Below are 27,262 nucleotides of genomic sequence, written 5' to 3' on the forward strand. Positions count from 1 at the left end.
GGTGGCGCACGCCTGTAATCTCAGCTACTCAGGAGGCTGAGGCATGAGCTTTGCTTGAACCCAGGAGGTGGGGGGTTGCATTGAGCCAAGATAGCACCACTGCACTCCAGCCTGGGCAACAGAGGCTCTGTCTCAAAAAAAAAAAAAAAAAAAAAAAGAAAAAAGAAAAATAAAAAACTATGATACTGTATAAGGTATAAGGTAAAGTAGAAATGTTACTGTGGCTACTTAATCTGGGAATGTTCCAGAATAAGAACTTGCTAGATGCTAGACAGATACTCCCAGGGGAGTGTGTGTGTGTGTGTGTGTGTGTGTGTGTGTGTGTGTGTGTTTTGCTAAGGGGTAGGGATGGGAGGGTTCACCCACCGCAGTGCAAAATATCAAAATGAAATTACTGTTCAGTCTATGCAAAGTAAAACATTCTGAGCCACCTCTATTAAGTGTTTTTGTTTTTTTTTTTTCTATTCAGAGACTGTCCTCAGTCATGGGAACTCAGCTTTTGCTTTTGGTCACTAATTGCAGACCAGAGCCCACCTCAGATCTCAGTCCATCCTGTTCCCTAAGTCTGGGAATCACCTGCTGCTTCCCCGCTTTTCAAAGCATAGTTAGGGCCGGGCACAGTGACTCATGCCTGTAATCCTAGCACTTTGGGAGACAGAGGCGGGTGGATCACCTGAGGTCAGGAGTTCGAGACCAGCCTGGCCAAGGTGGTGAAACCCTGTCTCTACTAACAATACAAAAACTAGGCCGGATATGGTGGTTCGTGCCTGTAATCCCAGCATAATCCTAGCACTTTGGGAGGCTGAGGCAGGTGGATCATCTGAGGTCAGGAGTTTGAGACCAGCCTGGCCAACATGATGAAACCCTGTCTCTACTAAAAATAGAAAAATTAGCTGGGCATGGTAGCGGGCACCTGGAATCCGAGTTACTCGGGAGGCTGAGGCAGGAGAATCGCTTAAACCCGAGAGGTGGAGGTTGCAGTGAGACAAGTTTGTGTCATTGCACTCCAGCCTGGGCGACAAGAGCGAAACTCCATCTCAGAAAGAAAAAAATGATAAAATAATAAGAATACAAAAATCAGTCAGGTGTGGTGGTGTGTGCCTGTAATCCCAGCTACTCGGGAGGCTGAGGCAGGAGAATCACTTGAACCTGGCGGGTGGAGGTTGCAGTAAGCTGAAATCACACCATTGCACTCCAGCCTGGGAGACAAAAGCAAGACTTTTTCTGGCAGGGCACAGTGGCTCACACCTGTAATCCCAGCACTTTGGGAAGCTGAGGCAGGCGGATCACCTGAAGTCGGGAGTTCGAGACCAGCCTCACCAACATGGTGCAACCCCGTGTATGGTGGCACATGCCTGTAATCCCAGCTACTTGGGAAGGTGAGACAGGAGAATTGCTTGGACCTGGGAGGTGGAGGCTGCAGTGAGCCGAAATCCTGCCACTGCCCTCCAGCCTAGGTGACAGAATAAGATTCGTCTCAAAACATAATAATTTAAAAACTTTTTAAAGTTTTCTGACCTCAATATTCTTCTAATGTCTTTAGATCTTATTCTAAGGAAATCTATCAAAGGCCAACATACTAATCTCTTTATTGAGATACCAAAATCCAAAGGCAGCTAGTACATCAGTCTATTTTAAAAGGTTAAGGACCTAGATTGCTGCCCTCTAGTTTGCTGGTCTATACTGACATCATTGGTGCCCAAACAAAGAGCATTTTGCTTTATGAGGGCCTAGGTAAGCATAAGGTGCCACGTGTGAATATCTACTGTGCTAGAAACAGAACATGGCCAAGGAGTAAAGAATTAGAAAGGTAAGATGTAGCTTTTAGGTTTCCTGGGTCTATAGTCAGCAATAGAAGGATCACACAAGCTGAGAAGTTGAAATACAAAGTTGCCATAAGATACTATCAGGTCACTGCTAACTGCAAATGGCTTCAACACCATGTTATGCCTAAAAGGAGCATAGAACCTCAAAGGCCCACACAATTTCTGTAGGTAAAAGTATCTTCTTCTTTTCTGTTAGACTCAAAAACTTTTGGGACTAATTCCTTCTAAAAAATCATGCCCTGTATTCAGAAGAGAGGGACATAGGATTATTTCTGTTTTCTTGAAACCAAGTTTAGAATTTGAATTTTTCCAATCAGCCTAGTCTTACTTTGGAATCACAAGGCTGAAAAGGAGGATATTAACAGGCCATTTGATAAGTGATCTGATTAGTCGCCATCCTTGCTGGATAAGTTTATTGTGCTTTAAAGGCCAGAGGAAAAGGTGTTTCTCCAGTCTACCTAAGAGTTGATAATCTTAAAATCCAAGTTAATGTTATATTGCAGTTACTTTTTTGATCTTCTCACTCCTTCTAAGTTATATTGCAGTTAAATCTTGAGGGCTGGAGACTTCATCAAGGGCAAAAATCTTTTGAATAGGCTGATTTTCTACAGAACCAGTAGCATGGAAGCAAGAAAAGAACTACTTTCATCATAGATTCCTCAACTTGCTGAGCAGTGCCTCTTTCTGGATGAACAGGAACTTAGCAATTGATTTATTTAAAAAAGGAAAAACTGGTCAGATAATCCTCCCAACGCGTCTACAAAAGTGAAAAAGAGGGGCATCAGTTGCATGCTAATAATAAATATAATTATACCAACATCAAAGTGTAAGAGAGAATAGTGACTCATGAGCATGGCCTTCGGCATCATATAGGTTTAGGTTTTTGATCCCACTCCACTTGTTCTAGGGTGAAGCTGGGTAACTCAATCTCTCTAAGCCTCTCCTCTGGAATTATAATAATACCTAACTCAAGAGTATTGTCAGGATTAAGTGAGATGATCCATATAAAATACATACTTGCCCAGGTAACTGCTGAACAGACAATGCCATTAAAACCAGAGGCCCTCCCGTCCAGGAGGGAGGTGGGGGGGGGGTCAGCCCCCGCCCGGCCAGCCGCCCCATCCAGGAGGTGAGGGGCGCCTCTGCCCGGCCGCCCCTACTGGGAAGTGAGGAGCCCCTCTGCCCGGCCACCACCCCATCTGGGAGGTGTACCCAACAGCTCATTGAGAACGGGCCATGATGACAATGGCGGTTTTGTGGAATAGAAAAGGGGGAAAGGTGGGGAAAAGATTGAGAAATCGGATGGTTGCTGTGTCTGTGTACAAAGAAGTAGACATGGGAGACTTTTCATTTTGTTCTGTACTAAGAAAAATTCTTCTGCCTTGGGATCCTGTTGATCTATGACCTTACCCCCAACCCTGTGCTCTCTCCACTCAGGGTTAAATGGATAAAGGGCAGTGCAAGATGTGCTTTGTTAAACAGATGCTTGAAGGCAGCATGCTCATTAAGAGTCATCACCACTCCCTAATCTCAAGTACCCAGGGACACAAACACTGCGGAAGGCCACAGGGTCCTCTGCCTAGGAAAACCAGAGACCTTTGTTCACTTGTTTATCTGCTGACCTTCCCTCCACTATTGTCCTATGACCCTGCCAAATCCCCCTCTGCGAGAAACACCCAAGAATGATCAATAAAAAAATAAAAAATAAAAAACCAGAGGCCCTGCTAATGGTCTCTTAAAACCAGCTGGTGATCTAGGGCAAGCGAGCAATCCTTATGCTTCCTTGCCCTATAACCAAAAGCAAAAAATCCTTTTTAAAAAAATTAACCATTTGAGCCAAGCACAGTGATGATTTGGACCCCTGCTTTCTGACTGGACCTGCTCCTGGCTCCTGCTTGTCCAGAGTTTTCATAAACAGACTAGGTGACCCCTAATGCAGATTCCCTGACAATCTACAGGCCTAAACGTGAATTAGAAAAAAGTGAGTAGGGTGCCACTTTTTGGAGAAGGGCTGAAGAGAAACAATAATCACTCCAATCTCCGAGTTTTGCCCTTTAGCTTCTCCGCTTTGAGGGCAAAAGGCTGACGGTCTTAACCTAAACTCTGGAGGAGGATGTAGTCCCCAGATTTTTTCTTTCTTTACTTTTTTTTTTTTTTTTTTTGAGACGGAGTCTCGCTCTGTTGCCCAGGCTGGAGTGCAATGGCGCGATCTCGGCTCACTGCAACCTCTGCCTCCCGAGTGCAAGCGATTCTCCTGCCTTAGCCTCCCAAGTAGCTGGGATTACAGGCATGTGCCACTACACTCGACTAATTTTTGTATTTTTAGTAGAGACGGGGTTTCACCATGTTGGTCAGGCTGGTCTCAAACTCCCGACCTCAAGTGATCCGCCCGCCTCAGCCTCCGAAAGTGCTGGGATTACAGACGTGAGCCATCGCGCACGGCTTAGTCCCAAGATTTTAGAGCCAAGAAGCGTTTGCAGGAGGACGTAGGGAAAGACTGACTCCCCTCCCTACAAAGCCCCTTTTCCTTTGACACCTCCTGGCCAAGGAAAACCCTAACCACTGGAGACTTCCAGAGACGGCCAACTCGCACAAACGCTGAAAAAAAAAAAATCCCAAAAGCTCCTCTGTCCCCACTAGAAGCACCGCCCCCCGTACGGGCGTGCGTGAGCGTGCGTACGCACAGGCTGCTGGGATGCCGCTTTTCCCTTCTCGGTCTTCCAGTTTCCCGGCGTGCTTAGGGCGCGCCAAATGGGAGGGGGAGACGCAAGATGGCGGCAGCCGCGAACTCCGGCTCTAGCCTCCCGCTGTTCGACTGCCCAACCTGGTGAGTGGCGGGGCGGCCAGGGCTAGAGTGGCCCGGCCGGAGCTAGCCTGGGCTGGAAGGGCGGCTCTTTTTTTACTTTTCTGCTGCGAGCCGAACGGCTCAGAAACCCCGGAATGGTTGAGGAAAAACTGTTTGCTGCACCGGGCCGGGCGACGTGTTGAAGAACCGAGAGCCTGGAGCCCAGGCCCAGGAACTGAAGAAACCCGGGGTTGGGGGCTCAAAGGCGCTCACTTAGGCAGCCCCTTTGAGCGATTAGCCAGTCGCCGGAGCGCTTCGAGGCCTTGGCCCGAACTTACGCCCAACTCTTGACTGAGTGCCTGGTGCTCTCGTGGAGCATCGCATCTGGCCCCTTCCTGTACGTCCCGAGCGCGCTCGAGCCAGCCCCGGCCCCAACCCTACCTCCAAGCCCCGCATCCCTCTGTGGTTGCTGCATCCCTCGTGCGGCACTTGTCTGTCTGCCACAGAGAATACGAGGGTAGGTTAGCGCCATCCCTGCCCTCAGGGAGCTCCCAGTCTGTGGCACTAGTAGGCATTAGTAATGGTTGGCATGAACCCTTTTTATCCCTTCGAAAGTTCTTGGGAATAATGAAATAATTTAATTTGGTCTTTGAGTAGGGTACAAGTTGAATAAATATGAATTACCTTACAAGGAAACGCTTCTGAATTAAGAGTTTTTTTCTGCTGTAGCTCATCGCAGTGTATTGTTTGTTGCTTGTCTCTGTCTCCCGTTGTATTGCCATCCTCAAGGGCAAAGACTGCATCTTTGTATTCCCAGCTCCTAGGCCTGAGTCAGGCACATAGTAGGAATTCAGAAAGTATGTTTTGGATGTAACATTCCTCCTTTTTCCTGGACAAAATGGCCTTTTGTCCGGTGCATTGTCCTTTCCATAGAGGAGGGGTTGGGGCAGGATTGTGAGATGACTGTGTTGAATCTTCAGTTAGCTAGACAAGGATACGTTTTTTCATGTGCAAATCTAAAGGTTCTAGTGAGGTGGTTCTTTTTTCTAACTTCAAATTAGCAAACCCAAAAAGCAAGCAAATGTGTGGCTATTTTCTGGATCGCTTTGCACTTTTGTAGTAGTTGCTTCAGTCTACAAATTCTGTATCCATTTTGATCCCTCGCTGTATTGATTTCAAATTTGGGCCGAGATAGCAAACATAGTTAGAAAGCACTGTTTTTGAGATCACCTACCCTTTCCTTAGGATCTGGTAGGTACCAGGCACCGTTAGGTGCTTTGACATATGAGTCTCCCTTGAATGGTATGGCTGTAGGATATAGAGGAAACGTCCCCTAATCATGCTGTTGTAGAAAGACCTGTTTCAAGGGTAACATATTCATTTGGTACCTGGTTTCATGGGGCATGATTTTGAATTGCCCTAGTTCCCTAATTATGCACCTCTGATTTGGTTTCAGAGCTCAGGACAGTACTCTTTGCTTACTCTGTGATGAGACTAATCTTGATGAGCCCCAAACAGCAACTAATTTATTCGGTCTTTATATGATATTGGAGTAGGGGTGGATTTCAGATTCAAACTCCAGGTGACTAGACCACCCCAGCTATCGTACTTGCACTCTCTATGCAGTTCTTTCTCTGAGGTGAAGATCCAGTGTTAAAATATAGGTTTCTTGGTGCTGCTCTAAATACAGATCTACTAAAATCTGTTGCAGAGCAATTGAATCACTAGGGAAGTAAGTGTCAAACGTAGAATGGAGCTGTAATAACAGTGAAGTGGATGACATTTCTGCTTGAACATGAACTAATTATAGGCTGGTAGGAGAGCTGCAATGTTGAATGGGACAATGGTTGTAAATAGCATTTATAAACCCATCCTGAAAATGCTTTTTTCTATTTTTATTTTTCAGGGCAGGTAAGCCCCCTCCCGGTTTACATCTGGATGTAGTCAAAGGAGACAAACTAATTGAGGTATGGAAATACATGTCTTACTTTTTTGGCTGCCACACTAAAGATTTTTGCCAGTGACTCACTTTTCCACCCCCTCTCCTGTGCTTTGTTTTCCAGCAATGCTACTTTCTTTCATCCTGATTTTTTTTTTCTGTTAAAAGCACATGGTGACATCACACATTTAAAGCTTATGTCTACCACAGACACTCAATTTTTTGTGACTTCTCTCAAATGAAGGGTTTTAATAGGTCATGGGTCCTGTGGGCCCCAGTCAAACTGGAAGCCCTGTTAGCTTGGTTAATTCCCTCTCCCTGAGTACATGGAGTTGTGTAAACCGTGCAAGGTATGCAGTAACTGAAGAAAGTGAATGATATATATTGAGTTTAACTTCTAAGTTAATTTTAAGACATTCAGGCCCAACTCCTTATAAGAAGTATGGTAAACTAAGACATTTACTCAAAAAGATAATGGAATTGTGGTGAAATTCATTAATTGATTCTTTCAAAACATGTATTGAGTGTTTACTATGTGCCAGTTACTGTGCTTGGCATACAGATTGCAGCAGTAAGCAAAACCAACATAATTTCTGTCCTCAAGTCATCCAGTGGGAGAGACAGAATCACACCAAAAAATTACATAATTATATTTGAATTAAGTACTATAAAAGTTTAGCAGAATTCCAGCTTTTATACAAGCCTCTAGAGAGAACACCACATAGGAGTTCAAGAGAACATGAGTTTTTATTAGCTATTAGTTTGCGTAAATTTTTTATAATCCTTACGGTATTATTTATTTACCAAGAGATGGATATTAAGCCCACTATGACCATGTAGCTGTGAGTCTCCCATATTAGACCAATTTTATATTTGCTTGCTCAGCTAGAATTTAGGTTCAAGGCCCCATTATTGAATGCAGTTTTTTCATTGTGGTTTTTTGGTATTTAATAAAAATGTTGCAGTTCCACGGTTGCTAGATTGAAAAGCTATCTGAGATCTTTTGAAGGTTACTCTGTAAATATATTGTTGTCACTTTTGAGATGTTGTAGAGATAACCAGGTATTTTGCAAAGTATTAAGGCATGCACGAGTTTTAATGATTTCTCCTGTTATGAATACATCATGGACTCAGCCAGTCACAGAGAGCCCCTTTGTCATGGGTTCTTCTCTCTTAAAGATTTAAAACCTCAAGATTATTCAAAGAAATAATTTAGCTAAAATATCTGTAAAACCTTTTTTGCTATAGATTGTTCCACAGTTACAAAATATTTGTTGCTGAATAGCACAAAGCTTGAAGACATATAGGGATCTGTTTTATTACTAGAATTTAGCAAATCTTTAGTTTGCAACAGGAAGAAACAGACAGGGTTGCCTAGTCTTAATGATAACATCACATTCCTTTGTGGAATAATTGGTATTACATTTTCAAAACACTCTAACTTGCCAGACACTCCTCTGATCATTGGTGTCTATTAGCTGATAACGTTCTCTTTCGATGTTGTTAAGTGTGCTGAGTTGCCACAAAGTTGTCAAGTTACAATCCTTAGACATCACTGTATTCTTGAGAGGCGTAGACCTGAGATGTGCTTATTTTTAGATTTAAACTTGATCAGCACTTGATACTAACCGAGCTGTCTATATCCTAGCCTTGTGTCAAAGGCTTGTGATGTGTTGTGATAGCTGGGTTTAAGAAGTGCAATATTAAAACAAAAGCCATGAGTCTTTTAAGCCCAGTGTGTAAAGATACACTCTGAGTTATAACTCAGAGGCACAACTGGATAGCAGTACTGGCCATAGCTAGTCAAGAAGCTACGGCTTTAGTGACTGTTGAAAGCCAGTGCATTATTTCATTCACTTGGACAGAAGCAGCACATTGTTCAACATCTAACACATTTCCTTGGTTCTAAGACATACTGTTTTCTGTTAAAATTCCATACATTTTGGCCAGGTGCGGTGGCGGCTCACACCTGGCCTCCCAGCACTTTGGGAGGCCGAGGCGGGCAGATCACCTGAGGTCAGGAGTTCAAGACCAGGCTGGCCAGCATGGCAAAACCCCGTCTCTACTAAAAGTAAAAAAATTAGCCAGGTGCAGTGGCACACCCCTATAATCCCAGCTACTTGGGAGGCTGAGGCAGGAGAATCGCTTGAACCCAGGAGGCAGAGTTTGCAGTGAGTGGAGATTGCACCACTGCACTGCAGCCTAGGCAACAAAGCAAGACTCCATCTCAAAAAAAAAATTCATTCATTTTAACATTTCTGTAATTGGGGTGCCTTTAATACTGAATGTGTACATTTAATTTGGAGGCACTCTTTTTTTTTCCTCTCAAAGAAATCCCTAAATCTCTAGTATGTCTTTTGGCACCCTAGATTCATAGAAATTTAGTCATTGTTATTTTAGAACCCAAGAGCTGGTGGTCTTTCATGTTCCTTCAGCACAATCTGTGAGCACTGTGGTTAGCAAATTTAAGTTTGTGACAGCATAATCCATGTGCATATAAATATGAATGAGAAGTGCAATGAGATTCAGCCCAAATAACTATTACCTAGAGAGAACAAGTTGTTGAAATTTCTGGGCTCTCTCTTAATCCTGAAATAATGTCTTATTTTTAACTCAAGTCTTAAAAACCTTGGGTCAAAGCAGACATGAAGGTGACTGACTGAGCTGTCAGGCTGTTGTTGAATCTTGGTTCTCCATAGTAGTGTGGGCCCAGAACAAGCTCTTCCAGCAGCAGATGGGCACTGCCAGATAGGGTTTCCCAGAGGTGACCCACATATCCAAGCTAGCCTGAATTAATTGAACCTTAAGGCTGAGCTTGAAAGAAACTGGCTAAGTGATTGTTTAAGGAAAAGAGTGTGACCCACAGTACTTATTCTCTCCTTAAAATATTCCTTGCCATATGGTGCATTTTTTGATGTAAGTAGAATGAAGAAAATATATAATGTGGTTAAAACAGCTTAGACTCTGAAGCCAGACAAATCTGAATTTCTAACCCGGCCCACAAGTATCTAACTGTGTGAACTTGAGTATGTTAATTTCTTTATGCCTCAATTTTGTCATTTATAAAAATAGGAAGAGAATAGTATTACCCACCTCATAGGGTGGTTGTGAGGATGAAATGATATAATGTAAAACTCATAGCATAGTGTGTGGCATAGAAGCGCCTAGCAGTTGTTACTGTAATCAGTGCTGAAATTGTGCTTGCATGAGGTGTATCTTTTGGTTTTGTAAGGGGATAATAGCAGCCCATTGTGAGTTAAAGGACTTAGCCAGGAATGAAATATAAGCTTCTTGATTCCCAGCCGGGTACTAACTTGACTATACTCTACTCAGCTTTATGCTATATTTTCTCAGGGATTTTAGGACTATAGTGTGAAATGTGAACTAGCGTTTAATGAGACCTCATGTTTAAAGGAAAAACACAACATACCCAAATGAGAGTTATTCCTCAAGTGCTCCCACTGGATTACTAGACCACTAGCACTGGAAGAAGCTTTAGCAATAATTCATCTAGAGTCCTTCATCTATAACAGTCCAGTTTATAACCGATCTGTGGCAAAGGCTTTACTGATCCAGGATTAAAAGAAATATAAGGACAGGTATAGCAAGTTTTTTATTTTTATTTTTTTGTTTGTTTTTGTTTTCGAGATAGAGTCTTGCTCTGTCGCCCAGGCTGGAGTGCAGTGGCCGATCTCGGCTCACTGCAAGCTCTGCCTCCCGGGCTCATGCCATTCTCCTGCCTCAGCCTCCCGAGTAGCTGGGACTACAGGCACCTGCCACCACGCCCGGCTAATTTTTTTTTTGTATTTTTAGTAGAGACGGGGTTTCACTGTGTTAGCCAGGATGGTTTTGATCTCCTGACCTTGTGATCCGCCTGCCTCGGCCTCCCAAAGTGCTGGGATTACAGGTTTGAGCCACCGCACCCGGCCAGCAAGTTTTTTATAAAGCTAAATTTAGCTCAGGTCTAGCACGGTGGCTAACACCGGTAATCCCAGCACTTTGGGAGGTTGAGGCTGGCCATTCACCTGAGGTGAGGAGTTCGAGACCAGCCTGGGCAACATGGTGAAACTTGTTTGTTTTGAGACTGTCTCAAAAACAAACAAAAATACTTTGGGACTATGGCAGCATGATTAGAATAGAAATAGGTGTTTACACTTCATTCCTTTCCCAAATATACATTTGAATGTTTATTTTCTGAGAAGCAATCTTATTACAATTTTTTTCGGTTTCACTAGGCTAAAAGCAATCTTGTTACCTTATAGACATGCATTGTGCTTCTTGTTTCCTAATTGATCTAAAATTAAGATCCAACAGAACCTTTTTTCAGAAGACAGCCACTCTTCATACAATTGTTGATCTCAGGCCAGGCACGGTGGCTCACCCCTGTAATCCCAGCACTTTGGGAGTCTGAGGCGGGTGGATCATGAGGTCAGGAGATCAAGACCATCCTGGCTAACACGGTGAAACCCTGTCTCTTCTAAAAATACAAAAAATTAGCTGGGCGTGGTGGCACACGCCTGTAGTCCCAGCTACTCGGGAGGCTGAGGCAGGAGAATGGTGTGAACCCGGGAGGCAGAGCTTGTAGTGAGCCGAGATCACGCCACTGCACTCCAGCCTGGGTGACAGAGACTCGTCTCAAAAAAAAAAAAGAGTTGTTACTGTCTTGAGGGCAGGCCACTTATATCTAATAGAATTAAGAAAAGTTGGGCCGGGCGCAGCGGTTGGCTCATGCTTGTAATCCCAGCACTTTGGGAGGCTGAGGAGGGCAGATCACGAGGTCAGGAGAACGAAACCATCCTGGCTAACACGGTGAAACCCCTACTAAAAATACAAAAAATTAGCTGGGCGTGGTGGCGGGCGCCTGTAATCCCAGCTATTTGGGAGGCTGAGACAGGAGAATCTCTTGAACCCGGGAGGCGGAGGTTGCAGTGAGCCGAGATCGCACCACTGCACTCCAGACTGGGCGACAGAGCGAGACTTAGTCTCAAAAAAAAAAAAAAGAAGTTGGCCAGCCATGGTGGCTCACACCTGTAATCCCAGCACTTTAGGAGGCTGAGGTGGGCAGATCATGAGGTCAGGAGTTCAAGACCAACCTGGCCAGTATGATGAAACCCTGTCTTTACTAAAAAATACAAAAAGTAGGCCAGGCTCGGTGGCTCACGCCTGTAATCCCAGCACTTTGGGAGGCCGAGATGGGCGGATCATAAGGTCGGGAGTTCGAGACCAGCCTGGCCAACATGGTAAAACCCCGTCTCTACTAAAGATACAAAAAATTAGCCGGGCATGGTGGCGCGTGCCTGTAATCCCAGCTACTTGGGAGGCTGAGGCAGGAGAATTGCTTGAACGCAGGAGTTGGAGGTTGCAGTGAGCCAAGATTGCACCATTGCACTCCAACCTGGGTGACAGGGTGGGACTCCATCTCAAAAAAAAAAAAAAAAAAAATTAGCTGAACGTGGTGGTGCACGCCTGTAGTCCCAGCTCCTTGGGAGGCTGAGGCAGGAGAATTGTTTGAACCCAGGAGGCAGAGGTTACAGTGAGCCAAGATCATGCAACTGTACTCCAGCCTGGGCAACAGAGTGAGACTCCATCTCAGAAACAAAAAAGAGAAAGAAAAGTTATTTTCATACCAACACTAGACAAACACTACATTGAGGAGATGAATTACCATCCATTCTCCAAAAAATGTTATTTTAGTAAATTATTCTGAGTACTTTATGTTGAAGAATAATGGGAGATATTTTTTTCTCCTTGGAAAGGATTTATTTTTCTTTTTTTGATGCAAGGAGATGGAGTTTTTACTCAATCTAATGGAAAGGAATTTTATCTACTCAAGATTCTCTATTTGGGAGAGTTTTTGGTAAATGCTGTTGAAACAAGATTTAAGTAATATTTAATTTAATATTTATTTAGAAACTGATTATTGATGAGAAGAAGTATTACTTATTTGGGAGAAACCCTGATTTGTGTGACTTTACCATTGACCACCAGTCTTGCTCTCGGGTCCATGCTGCACTTGTCTACCACAAGCATCTGAAGAGAGTTTTCCTGATAGATCTCAACAGTAGTAAGTAACTCCCTCCCAATTCACATGTTACCTTTAGGCAATATGAAAATACTCTTTGGGTTCTTTAGTTTGGAAATTACGTTTTATGGAAAAAGTTAATGTTTGGTTTTTAAATCCACCCTTCTCTATTTCTGTGATTTTTCTATTTTCCTGAGATAATTGCTAACTGACTGTGGAGAGAAGAGGGGTTTGGGGAGCACTGTCCTGGAGGAATCAATAAGCAAACATAAGCTGGATGTGGGGGCTCACATCTGTAGCTACTCAGGAAGCTGAGGCGGGAGGATCACTTGAGCCCAGGAGTTCAAGACTGCAGTGAGCTATGATCACACCACTGCACTCCAGTCCGGGTGACAGAACAAGACCCCATCTCTTAAAAACAAACAACCAAAAAAGAGCTGGGTGCAGTGGCTCACTCCTGTAATCCCAGCACTTTGGGAGGCCGAGGTGGGCGAATCATTTGAGGCCAGGAGTTTGAGACCAGCCTGGCCAATATGGTGAAACCTCGCCTCTACCAAAAATACAAAAATTAGCTGGGTGTGGCGGCGGGTGCCTGTAATTCCAGCTTCTTGGGAGGCTGAGGCAGGAGAACCGCTTGAACCCAGGAGTGGAAGGATTCAGTGAGCTGAGATGGTGCCACTGCACTCTAGCCTGGGCAACACAGCAAGATTCTGTCTCAAAAAAATAAAGAAAAGGAAAAAGGCACCCAGGAACTAGGGACCATGTGTGTTCAAGTGTTTATAGGACCATAATAAATTGTGATTCTGTTTCAGCAGAAGCCATGATTAGCTCCATTGATGTAATAGAGCAGCAACATAGGGCATTTTAAGAATGATTGTCTTGAGGAAAATTTCATTATTCTGGTTCTTTATCCCATCTCTGTTTTGCTTTGACTGTGAATAATACCAGTTTTAATTCCATAAGCAAGGCCAGGCATGGTGACTCACACCTGTAATCCCAGCACTTTGGGAGGCCGATGTCAGTGAATCTCTCAAGCCCAGGAGTTCAAGACCAGCATGAGCAATGTAATGAGACCCGCGTCTCTACAAAAAAATACAAAAAGTAGCCCTGTATTGTGGAGTGCGCTATGGTCTCAGCTGCTTGGGAGGCTTAAGTGGGAGGATCGTTTGAGCCCAGGAGGTGGAGGTTGCAGCGAGCCATTATCGCATGACTGTACTCCAGTCTGGGTGACGAAGCAAGCCCTACCTCAAAAAAATAAAAATAAAATACTCCATAAGTATTAATTAATTGAAGTATCCATAAGCATACACCAATTAATAAGAGTTTAAACTTCGCCTAAGATAATCCACAGAAATGCAATTGAGATTTAACTGCATGGGGCCCTGAAGTTTGTTCATTTTGCCCGTGTGTGAATACAGTGTAAAATGTAAAGGGTCCTGCTTCCTGGGCATATCATGTTGGACTCCACCACTCTCCTACTACCATACGCAGAAACATACACTCACACATCACCCTAATCTGCTTATATAAGGGTCTTGGAGAGCTTTGTCTCGCAAATACTTATCTTTTCTCTCCCATTTTATAACATGCAGAATGCCAACAGGGGAAAATATTCAGAATCTATAGTAGGATTTTGGCTTGCTTTGGCATTGATATTGCACCTGTTTCAGCCAAGCTCTTTCTTGTCCTGGGGAAAACCTAAGCATAACTGCCACCAGGCCAGCAATTTCTATATTCTTTTGACTTGGAGCTGGAGAGGGAAAACTACAGTGATGTCCAGCTCCTGCTTTGGGAGGCGTGGCTTCTGCTGGGTTGGAGCCATTCTTATTTGACCCAGAATGGAGCCAAGCCTGTATGGCAGCAGAGAACGGTCAGTGGTATTTGTTATCTGGGGGAACAACAGGTCTGAGGATATAAGAAACCCACCGAGGAGATTCAAGGCTCAGTGAGGGAGTTTCCTTCTCACTGTAACACATGATGGATGTGGTGGACCCAGTGCCATTTTCATTTTTTAAAAAGCTGGAGTTTCTGACCATGATCCTGACTATGGCATTTTTAAAATAAATTAAAAACAGACAAAAAAGCAAAACTGATGTGCTGGGGGGAAGCTGACCTGATAAGAGAGTTGGCGATCATACTCTTCCTTCTAAAACTCAGGTTGTTTTTGTTTTCCCCCTTACGTTTCTGATTTGGTTATTCCCAGCACACGGCACTTTCTTGGGTCACATTCGGTTGGAACCTCACAAGCCTCAGCAAATTCCCATCGATTCCACGGTCTCATTTGGCGCATCCACAAGGGCATACACTCTGCGCGAGAAGCCTCAGACATTGCCATCGGCTGTGAAAGGAGATGAGAAGATGGGTGGAGAGGATGATGAACTCAAGGGCTTACTGGGGCTTCCAGAGGAGGAAACTGAGCTTGATGTAATTCCCTGTTTATGTCATTGTTTTGTCTTTGGGGACCCTGGTTTTTGGAGTATACAGCTGTTCTATGTAGCTGGAAATGCCAGTGACTTAGCAGCAGGGGGTTCTCTTGAGTCCAGTAATGGGCCTTTGGCAATCTGGTGTGGCCAGCTGTGACAGCTCTCGGAGAGCCACATTGTATGGATTTGGTTGTGTATCACCAGGCCTAACAAGGAGGCTGAGTCCCAGCCACTAGTCTCCTTGAGCTGTTTTGTGCACCTTCACTGGCTGTTAGAAGCTAAGACTGGAAGCTACATTTCTCTGTCCCTTGACTGCTTAGAGCTAATGCTGTCCAATATGGTAGCCACTAACAATATTTCAAGTATTATGTAGTCACATATGGCTAGTGGCTGCTATGTTGGCTAGTGCAAAGAGAGAATGTTTTCATCCTCACAGAAAGTTCTGTCAGACAGCACTGGCTTAGAGAGACTGACATTTTCATTCATTCATGTAGCTTTTTTTGGTGCTATCTGAACAGTCCAGGAATCTTCTGAATAGAGCCAGACTGCTTTTGTTCTTCCATGGGCCTCGCTGTCCTGAGGGCCATGAATTTTATAAGATTTAATTTTAAGGTGCTAGAAGTTTTCCTTTTTTGAAACTGACCCCAGTAGTTTGGTGTGGCTATAGTCCTTTACATAGCTGTCACTGCACTGGTGTGATTGGTCTGTTCAAATAGACCAAATGCAATCATGTCCTTAACCACCCACCTGCATTTACTATTCCTGTACACCAAGGCAGTTTCCTGGCTCTTAGGAAGAAAAGCACGATAGAAATTGTACAACTTAGGCCGGGCACAGTGGCTCATGTTTGTAACCCCAGCACTTCGGGAGGCCGAGGTGGGCGGATCACCTGAGGTCAGGAGTTCGAGACCAGCCTGGCCAACATGGAGAAACCCCATCTCTACTAAAAATACAAAAAATTAGCTGGGTGTGGTGGTGCATGCCTGTAATCCCAGCTACTCAGGAGGCTGAGGCAGGAGAGTCACTTGCACCTGGGAGGTGGAGGTTGTGGTGAGCCAAGATCGCGCAGTTGCACTCCAGCCTGGGCAACAAGAGCGAAACTCCGTCTCAAAAAAAAAAAAAAAAAAGAGAAATTTTACAATTAAGAAGTCGTTTTGTTTTGAAGAAGTGGCTTCATAGCCAGGGACCTTGCTGTTGCCCATTTCCCCTTTAGGCCACCTTATCCAGGCTGCTGCTATACTTCCATGGCTTTTAGTTCAGTATGTTAGGTACTCCCTGGATCTTCATTCTTAAGACATTTAGAATATCTCAAACTTGTGGTTTGTACCAGAAAGGAATAATTTCAGTGGATTGGGAAGAGGCAAGCAACAGAGCTAAGGCCAAGTTAATTATTGAGATAGTTATGAATAGAATTGGGGCCAGACACAGGATGGGGCATGACAAAATATTAACGCCAAAAATTAAGTGCACTAGCAGTGTCCTTAATTTTGAAGGAGAAAGCTACTAGGAAGGAAGCAGCCAGTTGTCCTTTTTCATCTCAATTTTGTTACTTAAAAACAATTCTTGGCGTTCCTTCCAGCCACATTTCCTTTTAATTCTCAGCTTATTGTGGGCATGAAGACATGATAGCCTTTCTTCAGCAACAACAAAAAACACAACTCAAGGATATTTGCACAGATGACCTGTTCTCAGCTCAAGGCCCTTTACCTCTTGAATATCACTGCCCCACTAGTCAATGAGGATGTTCCACATTCTTTCTAATGAGACTTGAGACTTGTTAGTATTCGTAGTCTCGGGACAGTATGAATCTTCTCTAAATGCAGAAGTGTCTCAACTCCCTTTGGAGGTCAAGATTAGCCCCTCATGCCTTCCTCACCTTTATTTAGTATGATTTTCTCCATCAGATTCCCTTTGTACTGACTGCTGTCTTTCCTGTATGAACCCTGGCTTAGAACCTGACAGAGTTCAACACTGCCCACAACAAGCGGATTTCTACCCTTACCATTGAGGAGGGAAATCTGGACATTCAAAGACCAAAGAGGAAGAGGAAGAACTCACGGGTGACATTCAGTGAGGATGATGAGATCATCAACCCAGGTGAGGTATCTTGCTAGTTTATTCTGATGAAAAAGCTGTGGTTGGCCCGGGCGCGGTGGCTCACGCCTGTAGTCCTAGCACTTTGGGAGGCCGAGGAGGGTGGATCACTTAAGGTCAAGAGTTCAAGACTAGCCTGGCCAACAAGGTGAAACCCCATCTCTATTAAAAAAAATACAAAAATTAGCTGGGCATGGTGGTGTTCGCCTGTAGTCCCAGCTACTTGGGAGGTTAAGGCAGGAGAATTGCTTGAACCCAGGAGGCAGAAGCTGCAGTGAGCCGGGATTGTGCCATTGCACTCCTGCCTAGGTGACAAAAAAAAAAGAAAGAAAAAGCTGTGGTTGGTCAGGCATAGTGGCTCATGCCTATAATCCCAGCACTTTGGAAGGTTGAAGTTGGTGGATTGCTTGAGGCCAGGATTTCAAGACCAGGGTGGCCAACATGGCAGAACCCTGTCTCTACAAAAAATAAAAAAATCAGCCAGGCATGGTGGCACACACCTGCAGTCCCAGCTACTCAGGAAGCTGAGGCAGGAGAATCGCTTAAACCTGGGAGGCAGAGGTTGCAGTGAGCCGAGGTTGTGCCACTGCACTCCCACCTGGGTGACAGAGTGAGACTGTCTCCAAAAAAGAGTTTCCAGGGTTGGACCTAGAAATTTATATGTTTTTTAATTTTTCTTTTTTGTGTGTGTGTGAGACACGATCTCATTCTGTCGCCCAGGCTAGAGTGCAGTGGCACAGTCACGGCTCACTACAGCCTTGACCACCCAGGCTCAGGTGATCCTCCCACCTCAACCTCCTGAGTATCTGGGACAACAGGTGCACGTCACCACGCTCAGCTAATTGTCATATGTTTTGTAGAAATGGGGTTTCATCATGTTGCCCAGGCTGGTCTTGACCTCCTGGGCTTAAGCGATCCTCCTGCCTCAGTCTCCCAAAGCACTGGGATTACAGGCATGAGTCCCCATGCCTGGCTGAAATTTTTATTTTTTATTTTTTATTTTTATTTATTTATTTTTTGAGACGGAGTCTCGTTCTGTCACCCAGGCTGGAGTGCAGTGACGCAATCTCGGCTCATGCAACCTCTGCCTCCTGGGTTCAAGTGATTCTCCTGCCTCAGCCTCCCAAGTAGCTGGAATTATAGGCTTCTGCCACCACACCTGGCTAATTTTTTTGTATTTTTAGTAGAGACGGGGTTTCACCATGTTGGCCAGGCTGGTTTTGAACTCCTGACCTCAGGTGATCTGCCCTCAACCTCCCAAAGTGCTAGGATTACAGGCGTGAGCTACCGCGCCCAGCCCAAAATTTATATTTTTTAATGAGCTCCTGTTTGTACAACAGCCAGCAATTTGGGAACCACTGGACTAGACAAATTTCTTTTTTTTTTTTTTTTTTTTTTTTGAGACAGAGTCTCGCTCTGTCACCCAGGCTGGAGTGCTGGAGTGCAGTGGCACGATCTCAGTTCACTGCAACCTCCGCCTCCTGGGTTCACGCCATTTTCCTGCCTCAGCCTCCCGAGTAGCTGGGACTACAGGCGCCCGCCACCATGCCCGACTAATTTTTTTTTTTTTTTTTTTTTTTTTTTTTTAGTAGAGACGGGGTTTCACCGTGTTAGGCAGGATGGTCTCGATCTCCTGACCTCGTGATCCGCCCGCCTCGGCCTCCTAAAGTGCTGGGATTACAGGCGTGAGCCACCATGCCCGGCCTGACAAATTTCTTAAGTCTCTTTCAGGAGTGAGGATCTGATCTGCTCTGTTTTTCTCACTGAAAATTAGTGCCCTCGGCCGGGCACGGTGGCTCACCCCTATAATCCCAGCACTTTGGGAGGCCGAGGTGGGCGGATCACGAGATCAGGAGATCAAGACCATGCTGGCTAACACGGTGAAACCCCATCTCTACTAAAAATATAAAAAATTAGCTGGGTGTGGTGGCGGGCGCCTGTAGTCCCAGCTACTTGGGAGGTTGAGGCAGGAGAATGGCGTGAACCCAGGAGGCGGAGCTTGCAGTGAGCCGAGATGGTGCCACTGCACTCCAGCCTGGGCGACAGAGCAAGACTCCGTTTCAAAAAAAAAAAAGAAAGAAAGAAAATTAGTGCCCTCGAGCTTTCTTAGGGAAATGTGTTCAGGCAGTATAGCATAGTGGTTAAGAGCACAGGCTCTGAAACCGGAGGGGCCATGAGAGAAGTTTGGGATACCTTTTTAGAGACATTGTCTCTTTCTTAATCAGCTTGGATATTTTTGTCCTTTCTCGTCTATATAGAAGCCATTTGTTCATTGAGCATAGATTGATGGTGAATATAATACCAGAGTGTCCTCTTTAAAGGCATGGATCCTAATATGTGAAAAAATCCAGACTTAAAGCAAATAAACCAGGGGCTAATTATAATTACTCAAATTAAATAGTGATTCTTTGTTTTCCAAAGGGATTTCTGGGAGTTTTTCTTTCTTTCTTTCTTTCTTTTTTTTTTTTTTTTTTTTTTTTGAGACGGAGTCTCCTTCTGTCGCCCAGGCTGGAGTGCAGTGGCGTGATCTCGGCTCACTGCAAGCTCCACCTCCCGGGTTCACGCCATTCTCCTGCCTCAGCGTCCCGAGTAGCTGGGACTACAGGTGCACGCCACCACACCCAGCTAATTTTTTGTATTTTTTAGTAGAGACGGAGTTTCACCATGTTAGCCAGGATGGTTTCGACCTCCTGACCTCATGATCTGCCCACCTCGGCCTCCCAAAGTGCTGGGATTACAGGCGTGAGCCACCGCACCCGGCCAGGAGTGTTTCTTTCAATAACAAGCAACCTCATTGAAAATAAGATGACAACATCTATTAGGGAAATGATTCCTTCTCTATCACTATATTAAGTTAACTGGGGCTTGGAGTAGTTTTCTCTAGTAGTGGTACATAAGTTGGTGCCTCTGCATGTTTCCACTCACATTCAACCTTCAGTGAGAAAACTCCACCATCCTTGGTGATCCAGCCCAGTCATCCCCTCTGTGCTCCAGAAACACTGTTGTGCACTTCTCTTGAAGCACCTCTGTGTTGTAGCCTATCTGGCTCTGTGACTGTGAATTCAAGGGTGGGACAGTATCTTGCTCTTCATTTCCCGTGTAGACGGGGGCATCAGAGCCTTTAGTGCAAGTCTTGCTTATATACAGTTCAGGCCGTTCAAGTCAAAAGGCCAGGTTCAGTTTGAAGCCCTGGCTTTGAAACCAAAATCCGTTTTTTTGCTAATAAGCAGGCATTAGCAAGGCATTTGATATGTGACCTCTTGACATGTCATTGTTTTGTCACTGATATGGAACTGATAATGTCTACTCTTCTTTTCTTTCCCCTCAAAAGAGGGAGTTATACAGAATGGGAAAGAACTTGGGGGAGGGCAGCACAGCACAGTGGTGCAGATCACAGGCCTGTTTTGAACTACTTGGACTCAAGTCCTGGCTCCTGTACTCTCCACCAGAGCAACTGGGCCAGTCCCTTTGCTCCTCCAAGCCTCAGTTTGCTTTCTCATCTACTAAATGTTGATTGTGGTAGTACCTACATCACAGGGTCTTTGTGAGGATTTAGCACAATGCCCAGCACCCAGGAAGCACTCTCTGTGTTTTACAATTTTAATATGAGTTGTTGTGATGGTTTGTTTGCAGTGACTCCTGTGCCCTTATTCCTCCCAGTAAAGTACCAACCCAACCCTGCCCTCTTCTCTTTTTGCAGAGGATGTGGATCCCTCAGTTGGTCGATTCAGGAACATGGTGCAAACTGCAGTGGTCCCAGTCAAGGTAGGAAGCACATGAAATGCCATACAGTCTGTGTTTTAAAACCTGCTCTTTAGGCCAGGCGCGTTGGCTTATGCCTGTAATCCAAGCACTTTGGGAGGCTGAGGCAGGCAGATCAAGAGGTCAAGAAATCGAGGCCAGGCACAGTGGCTCACACTTGTAATCCCAGCACTTTGGGAGGCCAAGGCAGGCAGATCACCTGAGGTCAGGAGTTCGAGACCAACCTGGCCAACATGGTGAAACCCTGTCTCTACTAAAAATACAAAAATTAGCCAGGCGTGGTGGTAGGTCTCTGTAATCCCAGCTACTCAGGAGGCTGAGGCAGGAGAATCGCTTGAACCTGGGAGGCGGAGGTTGCAGTGAGCTGAGGTCGCACCATTGCACTCCAGCCTGGGCAACAGAGCAAGACTCTGTCTCAAAAAAAAAAAAAAAAGAGATTGAGACCATCCTGGCCAACATGTTGAAACCCTGTCTCTACTAAAAATACAAAAATTAGCTGGGTGTGGTGGCGCATTCCTGTAGTCTCAGCTAACTGGGAGGTTGAGGTGGGAGAATCGCTGGAACCGGGGAGGTGGAAGTTGCAGTGAGCTGAGATGGTGCCACTGCACTCCAGCCTGGTGACAGAGCGAGACTCCATCTCAAAAAAAAAATAACCTGCTCTTTATGTGCTGTTGAGTGAGTGCTTAATTTTAAAATACATACCATGCTCCTCTCCCATTTCTCATTCTGTGGAAATGAAATCTATGTTTAGGGAATCCTGGAGTACCACAGAAAGGCTGTAGATAACTAGCCAGCTTGATGTTTCATGTAAATAATGTGCAATATGAATCTGTAAATTCATTTTCCAGAGGGGTGCAGAGAGAGGCCCACCTTCTTTTGGCCTTTCTCTTCGGACTCAAAGTAAGCTATTAGGTGGAGGAGATGCATTATTGCAATACCACACAGTTTGCCATGCCTTTATTTTATGAGTGGCAATGGCACAGATAGGAATGTCAGCCCAGATGTGGATTAAATTTAAAGATAAGTATGTTGGCTGGGTGCGGTGGCTCACGCCTGTAATCCCAGCACTTTGGGAGGCCGAGGTGGGCAGATTACAAGGTCAGGAGATCGAGACCATCCTGGCGAACACGGTGAAACCCCGTCGCTACTGAAAATACAAAAAAAAATTAGTTGGGCGTGGTGGTGGGCGCCTATAGTCCCAGCTACTCAGGAGGCTGAGGCAGGAGAATGGCGTGAACCCGGGGGGCAGAGCTTGCAGTGAGCCGAGATCACACCACTGCACTCCAGCCTGGTCGTCAGCGAGACTCCATCTAAATAAAAAAGATTGTATGTTGAAGAACCAAGGGGTAGAAGTTACAGAGATGCTCCGATCGTTCAGCATGTGGAAGAACTATCAGATAGCTAGAACTGTCCAAACAGCAACAAACTTCCCCTTAAGAGTAGTGAGATCCCTGTTAATATTCAGAAGGTGATTAGAAAATGCTGGTTAGAGATGATATAGAAAGTTTTACTTTTTATAAAAAAAAAATCTCTAAAATATATTAGACTAAGTAAGATCTGTCAGAGTTCCTGCTTAGACTTTGTTTAATCCAAAAGGAGTATAGGATTGAGCAGGATGTTTCATGAGCTTTAGTCTAGTATGGAAAAGTAGATGTTTTTCTGTGGGATTCCATAATGCCCCTTGAGCTTTTTTGTTTGTTTGTTATTCCTTTGGAATGTTTTCTTGTCATTAAAGTACAAAATCAACAGGTGTATAGTTTTATGTCAATTTTATTGCAGTATAATTTACATATAATAAAATCTACACATTTACGTATATAGTTTTGGCAAATATATGTGTAACCACCACCATAATCAAGATAGAGAAGATTTCTCTCACTCCAAAAAGTTGCCTCGTAGCCCTTTGCAGCAGCCCACTCCCAGGCCCAGGCAGCCAGTAAATATTTTCTTCACTGTAGATTGGTTTTGCTCTCAGATTAATGTTTAAAAATTGGACACCAGGTCGGGCGTGCTGGGTCACGCCTGTAATCCCAGCACTTTGGGAGGCCGAGGCGGGCTGATCACCTGAGGTCCGGAGTTCAAGACCAGCCTGACCAACATGGAGAAACCCTGTCTCTACTAAAAATACAAAATTAGCCAGGCGTGGTGGCGCATGCCTGTAATCCCAGCTACTCCGGAGGCTGAGGCAGGAGAATGGCTTGAACCCGGGAGGCAGAAGTTGCTGTGAGCTGAGATCGAGCCATTACACTCCAGCCTGGGCAACAAGAGTGAAACTCTGTCTCAAAAAAAAAAAAAAAAAAAAATTGCACACCAAACATGGACATACCACATTTTTTCCCCCTCAAAAAAGGGTAAAATATCTATTGCCATCTTTTATCATTTCCATTTCCTAAAAGGGATTTTTTTAAAAATGTTTTTTATTTTTGAGACAGAGTCTTACTCTGTCACCCAGGCTGCAGTGCAGTGGCACCATCTCAGCTCATTGCAAACTCTGCCTCAAGTGATTCTTGTGCCTCAGCCTCCCGAGTAGCTGTGATTACAGGCACCTGCCACCACGCCTGGCTAATTTTTGTATTTTTAGTAGAGATGGGGTTTTGCCATGTTGGCCAGGCTGGTCTCAAACTCCTGATCTCATGTGTTCCTCCTAAAAGGGCATTTTAATATGAAATAAGAAAGTGAGCTATGTAACTTTAGGATAAATTAAATTGATATGTTTTACTTTATGTAAAACTCACAACACCATCCTTGGCTGATGTAGGATGGTGAAAACTTTGTTATGGAGCAGTGTTTGGGAACCATCGTAGATGACTGGAAAGGTCTCTTCAAACCGTAAGATTTCAACATCATGAAATAGGTTGTCTGGAAAGGAGAACAGGCTAGAAGTTAGGAATCTTTCCCAAAAGCCATTTTTTTAAGGCTGGAATAGAAAAAGCTAACCACTCTTGGGCCTCACCTCTTGTCTTCTCTCTCCAATCTCTCCCCTCTCCTCATCGTGAACTGTAGAAGAAGCGTGTGGAGGGCCCTGGCTCCCTGGGCCTGGAGGAATCAGGGAGCAGGCGCATGCAGAACTTTGCCTTCAGCGGAGGACTCTACGGGGGCCTGCCCCCCACACACAGTGAAGCAGGCTCCCAGCCACATGGCATCCATGGGACAGCACTCATCGGTGGCTTGCCCATGCCATACCCAAACCTTGCCCCTGATGTGGACTTGACTCCTGTTGTGCCGTCAGCAGTGAACATGAACCCTGCACCAAACCCTGCAGTCTATAACCCTGAAGCTGTAAATGAACCCAAGAAGAAGAAATATGCAAAAGAGGCTTGGCCAGGCAAGAAGCCCACACCTTCCTTGCTGATTTGATATTTTTGGTCATGGAGAAGGGTGGGATTGGGTGGGAATGGGGTGGAAGGGTGATGGGGAGCTAATGAACTAGGGAGAAAAACTTTCCATGTGTGCGGTATCGTCTTTCAGAATGTCTCCTGGCATCCTAACCATGTAATATGACAATTGGGGGTGGGGTTGAAATAGCCCATAAAGACCTGTCTTCACAACACTTGCATTGTAGAGAAAGGCTTCTTATATCCTTTTCAATAGACTGCCCTGGCTCTTTCCTAGGCCTTCCACTACCTCCTTTCTTTCTCCCACTTTCTAGGATCATTTTTATGTAAAGTCACATATCCCAGGCCCTCAGGTTGAATCCAGAGCTGTAGAGGTTACAGTAGCATCACCAGCCTTGGGGGTCCAGAGCCTAATTTATATTCACTATCCTTCCAAGTCCCGGGTAGCAGAAGGGTTGCCATAGATCTCAGTTTGATCAAAAAGAAGGCTTAGAATTCTGCAGTTAAGCTGAGGTTTAAACTAAAAAATGTTTCCTTGGGTCAGTGGTTTTGAGGTCCAGTAGCTAGGCTTTTCTCTTTTGTCCTTCCTGTTGGAATGAAAACATTTCGATTTTCCTTCATCTGTGACTGGTGCCATAGACACAGGTTTATAGTTTTAACTTACAGTATTGTTTGAAATTTACCTGTTTTTCTTGTCAAACCTGAGCACTCCTCCTGCTGAAGTTTCTTATTTAATTCCAGAGTACTGTCCTCTACTCTAAGGCATTACTTTTAAGTGTATTATGAAGGCAGTTTTCAAAGGATATGACCAGTTGGGGTAATTCAAATTAAAAAGGAAAAGATTTGTTTGGAAGTAACTGGTGTCTCTAAGAGGAATTTTTAGATGTCAGTTTGGAGGCTCTTTCCCCCCTCAATTGAGAGCTCTTGTTATTCAGAGCTCCAAGACTAGACCTGGCTAACAAACATAGGAGACAAAGTTAGGAAACATTGATACAAGCTTTGTACAGAGATTTGTACATTTGTGTAATAGGCCTTTTCATGCTTTATGTGTAGCTTTTTACCTGTAACCTTTATTACATTGTAAATTAAACGTAACTTTTGTCATTTGGGTGCAGGCTGTGAATTTGTCTCTCAGTCACTGATTGCCACTGCCATCTGGAAATGTTTGCTAAAGGCACAGTCACTGGGCTTGGGAGGCAATGCTCCATCCCCATTATATTACAAATAAAGATGCCCTAAATGAGTGTGGAAATTCTAATGAGAGAATGTAGTCCCCAGACTGAAGCCTCACAAAGCAGCGTTGGTTCGGAAGTGCTTGGTGCCCTTCATCAGGAGACCTCATGACGGGAGACGGGGCTTTAGGGCGTTTGCATAAGCCCTATCACCCACCCTGCAGTTAGAGCTCTGTGCATTTGAGCCATAGCTTGGTGACACAGGAGCAAACGGAAGCTAAAGGTAAGTAAGTTTAGGAGGGATTTCAGCAAGAATTTGAATTGAAGGAATATGCCTGCATACGGAATCTCATTTGCAGTAAGTATACTGTGTTTGTGAGACTTACATGTGGCTTTGAGATGAAGATGCCAGCTAGGTTCCAGATCCTTGGGTCAAGTGCAGACTCGTAGGAGGAGCAACCTTCTGAAGAACAGAAATTCATAACATCAGCTGTGCAAAGAGTTGACTTCCCCACAGGGTCTGTAAAAATGAGTGTCTCCCTCTCCCCCTCCCCCTCCCCCTCCCCCTCTCCCTCTCCCCACGGTCTCCCTCTCATGCGGAGCGGAAGCTGGACTGTACTGCTGCCATCTCGGCTCACTGCAGCCTCCCTGCCTGATTCTCCTGCCTCAGTCTGCCGAATGCCTGCGATTGCAGGCACGCGCCGCCACGCCTGACTGGTTTTGGTGGAGACGGGGTTTCGCTGTGTTGGCCGGGCCGGTCTCCAGCCCCTAACCGCGAGTGATCCGCCAACCTCGGCCTCCCGAGGTGCCGGGATTGCAGACGGAGTCTCGTTCACTCAGTGCTCAATGGTGCCCAGGCTGGAGTGCAGTGGCGTGATCTCGGCTCACTACAACCTACACCTCCCAGCCGCCTGCCTTGGCCTCCCAAAGTGCCGAGATTGCAGCCTCTGCCCGGCCGCCACCCCGTCTGGGAAGTGAGGAGTGTCTCTGCCTGGCCGCCCATCGTCTGGGATGTGAGGAGCCCCTCTGCCTGGCTGCCCAGTCTGGAAAGTGAGGAGCGTCTCTGCCCGGCCGCCATCCCATCTAGGAAGTGAGGAGCGCCTCTTCCCAGCCGCCATCACATCTAGGAAGTGAGGAGCCTCTCTGCCCGGCCGCCTATCGTCTGAGATGTGGGGAGCGCCTCTGCCCGGCCGAGACCCCGTCTGGGAGGTGAGGAGCGTCTCTGCCCGGCCGCCCCGTCTGAGAAGTGAGGAGACCCTCTGCCTGGCAACCACCCCGTCTGAGAAGTGAGGAGCCCCTCCGCCCGGCAGCCACCCCATCTGGGAAGTGAGGAGCGTCTCCGCCCGGCAGCCACCCCGTCTGGGAGGGAGGTGGGGGGGGTCAGCCCCCCGCCCGGCCAGCCGCCTCATCCGGGAGGGAGGTGGGGGGTCAGCCCCCCCGCCCGGCCAGCCGTGCCGTCCAGGAGGGAGGTGGGGGGGTCAGCCCCCCGCCCGGCCAGCCGCCCCGTCCGGGAGGTGAGGGGCGCCTCTGCCCGGCCGCCCCTACTGGGAAGTGAGGAGCCCCTCAGCCCGGCCAGCCACCCCGTCCGGGAGGGAGATGGGGGGGTCAGCCCCCCCACCCGGCCAGCCGCCCCGTCCGGGAGGGAGGTGGGGGGGTCAGCCCCCCGCCTGGCCAGCCGCCCCGTCCAGGAGGGAGGTGGGGGGGTCAGCGCCCCGCCCGGCCAGCCGCCCCGTCTGGGAGGTGAGGGGTGCCTCTGCCCGGCCGCCCCTACTGGGAAGTGAGGAGCCCCTCTGCCCGGCCAGCCGCCCCATCCGGGAGGGAGGTGGGGGGGTCAGCCCCCCCGCCCGGCCAGCCGCCCTGTCCGGGAGGGAGGTGGGGGGGTCAGCCCTCCGCCCGGCCAGCCG

General features: G+C 46.1%; 1 protein-coding gene, 1 long non-coding RNA gene and 1 other non-coding gene across 5 annotated transcripts, besides 5 other annotated features; 2 read left to right on the forward strand and 1 right to left on the reverse strand.

Annotated features, from left to right (window-relative positions):
• Positions 1–1,572: 1,572 nt before the first annotated feature.
• Positions 1,573–5,545, reverse strand: LOC124903885 (uncharacterized). The gene is made up of 2 exons (XR_007065562.1): positions 4,511–5,545; positions 1,573–2,583 (listed from the first exon to the last, which is right to left on the reverse strand). It is a non-coding gene; the product is annotated as an uncharacterized LOC124903885 (long non-coding RNA).
• Positions 4,023–4,808: an enhancer, noted in NCBI's record as "NANOG-H3K27ac-H3K4me1 hESC enhancer chr1:28156772-28157557 (GRCh37/hg19 assembly coordinates)". NCBI's record gives its function as "activates a minimal SCP1, AML or CMV promoter by ChIP-STARR-seq in primed H9 embryonic stem cells {active_cell/tissue: H9 hESC(primed)}" and the evidence as "EXISTENCE:reporter gene assay evidence [ECO:0000049][PMID:30033119]".
• Positions 4,023–4,851: a biological region, named in NCBI's record as "NANOG-H3K27ac-H3K4me1 hESC enhancer GRCh37_chr1:28156772-28157557".
• Positions 4,472–4,551: a silencer, noted in NCBI's record as "silent region_530". NCBI's record gives its function as "represses an Ori minimal core promoter by ATAC-STARR-seq in GM12878 lymphoblastoid cells {active_cell/tissue: GM12878}" and the evidence as "EXISTENCE:reporter gene assay evidence [ECO:0000049][PMID:35858748]".
• PPP1R8 (protein phosphatase 1 regulatory subunit 8) lies at positions 4,544–25,438 on the forward strand. 3 transcript variants are annotated; one of them, NM_138558.3, is made up of 7 exons: positions 4,544–5,008; positions 6,518–6,578; positions 12,461–12,614; positions 14,776–14,996; positions 16,948–17,092; positions 20,790–20,854; positions 23,855–25,438. In NM_138558.3, exons 4-7 carry the CDS (start codon positions 14,931–14,933, stop codon positions 24,206–24,208), a joined length of 630 nt encoding a protein of 209 aa, NP_612568.1. In that variant the 5' UTR covers positions 4,544–5,008; positions 6,518–6,578; positions 12,461–12,614; positions 14,776–14,930; the 3' UTR covers positions 24,209–25,438. The 3 variants fall into 3 exon arrangements, with proteins under 3 accessions (NP_612568.1, NP_054829.2, NP_002704.1); NM_014110.5 differs by having other exon boundaries at positions 4,544–4,653; NM_002713.4 differs by lacking the exon at positions 14,776–14,996 and having other exon boundaries at positions 4,544–5,128.
• Positions 4,682–4,851: an enhancer, noted in NCBI's record as "active region_571". NCBI's record gives its function as "activates an Ori minimal core promoter by ATAC-STARR-seq in GM12878 lymphoblastoid cells {active_cell/tissue: GM12878}" and the evidence as "EXISTENCE:reporter gene assay evidence [ECO:0000049][PMID:35858748]".
• Positions 4,809–5,593: an enhancer, noted in NCBI's record as "NANOG-H3K27ac-H3K4me1 hESC enhancer chr1:28157558-28158342 (GRCh37/hg19 assembly coordinates)". NCBI's record gives its function as "activates a minimal SCP1, AML or CMV promoter by ChIP-STARR-seq in naive H9 embryonic stem cells {active_cell/tissue: H9 hESC(naive)}" and the evidence as "EXISTENCE:reporter gene assay evidence [ECO:0000049][PMID:30033119]".
• Positions 8,163–8,328, forward strand: SCARNA1 (small Cajal body-specific RNA 1). The gene has a single exon (NR_002997.1).
• Positions 25,439–27,262: the final 1,824 nt, after the last annotated feature.

Source organism: Homo sapiens, chromosome 1 (assembly GCF_000001405.40).
Source record: "Homo sapiens chromosome 1, GRCh38.p14 Primary Assembly".
Taxonomy (NCBI): Eukaryota; Metazoa; Chordata; class Mammalia; order Primates; family Hominidae; genus Homo; species Homo sapiens.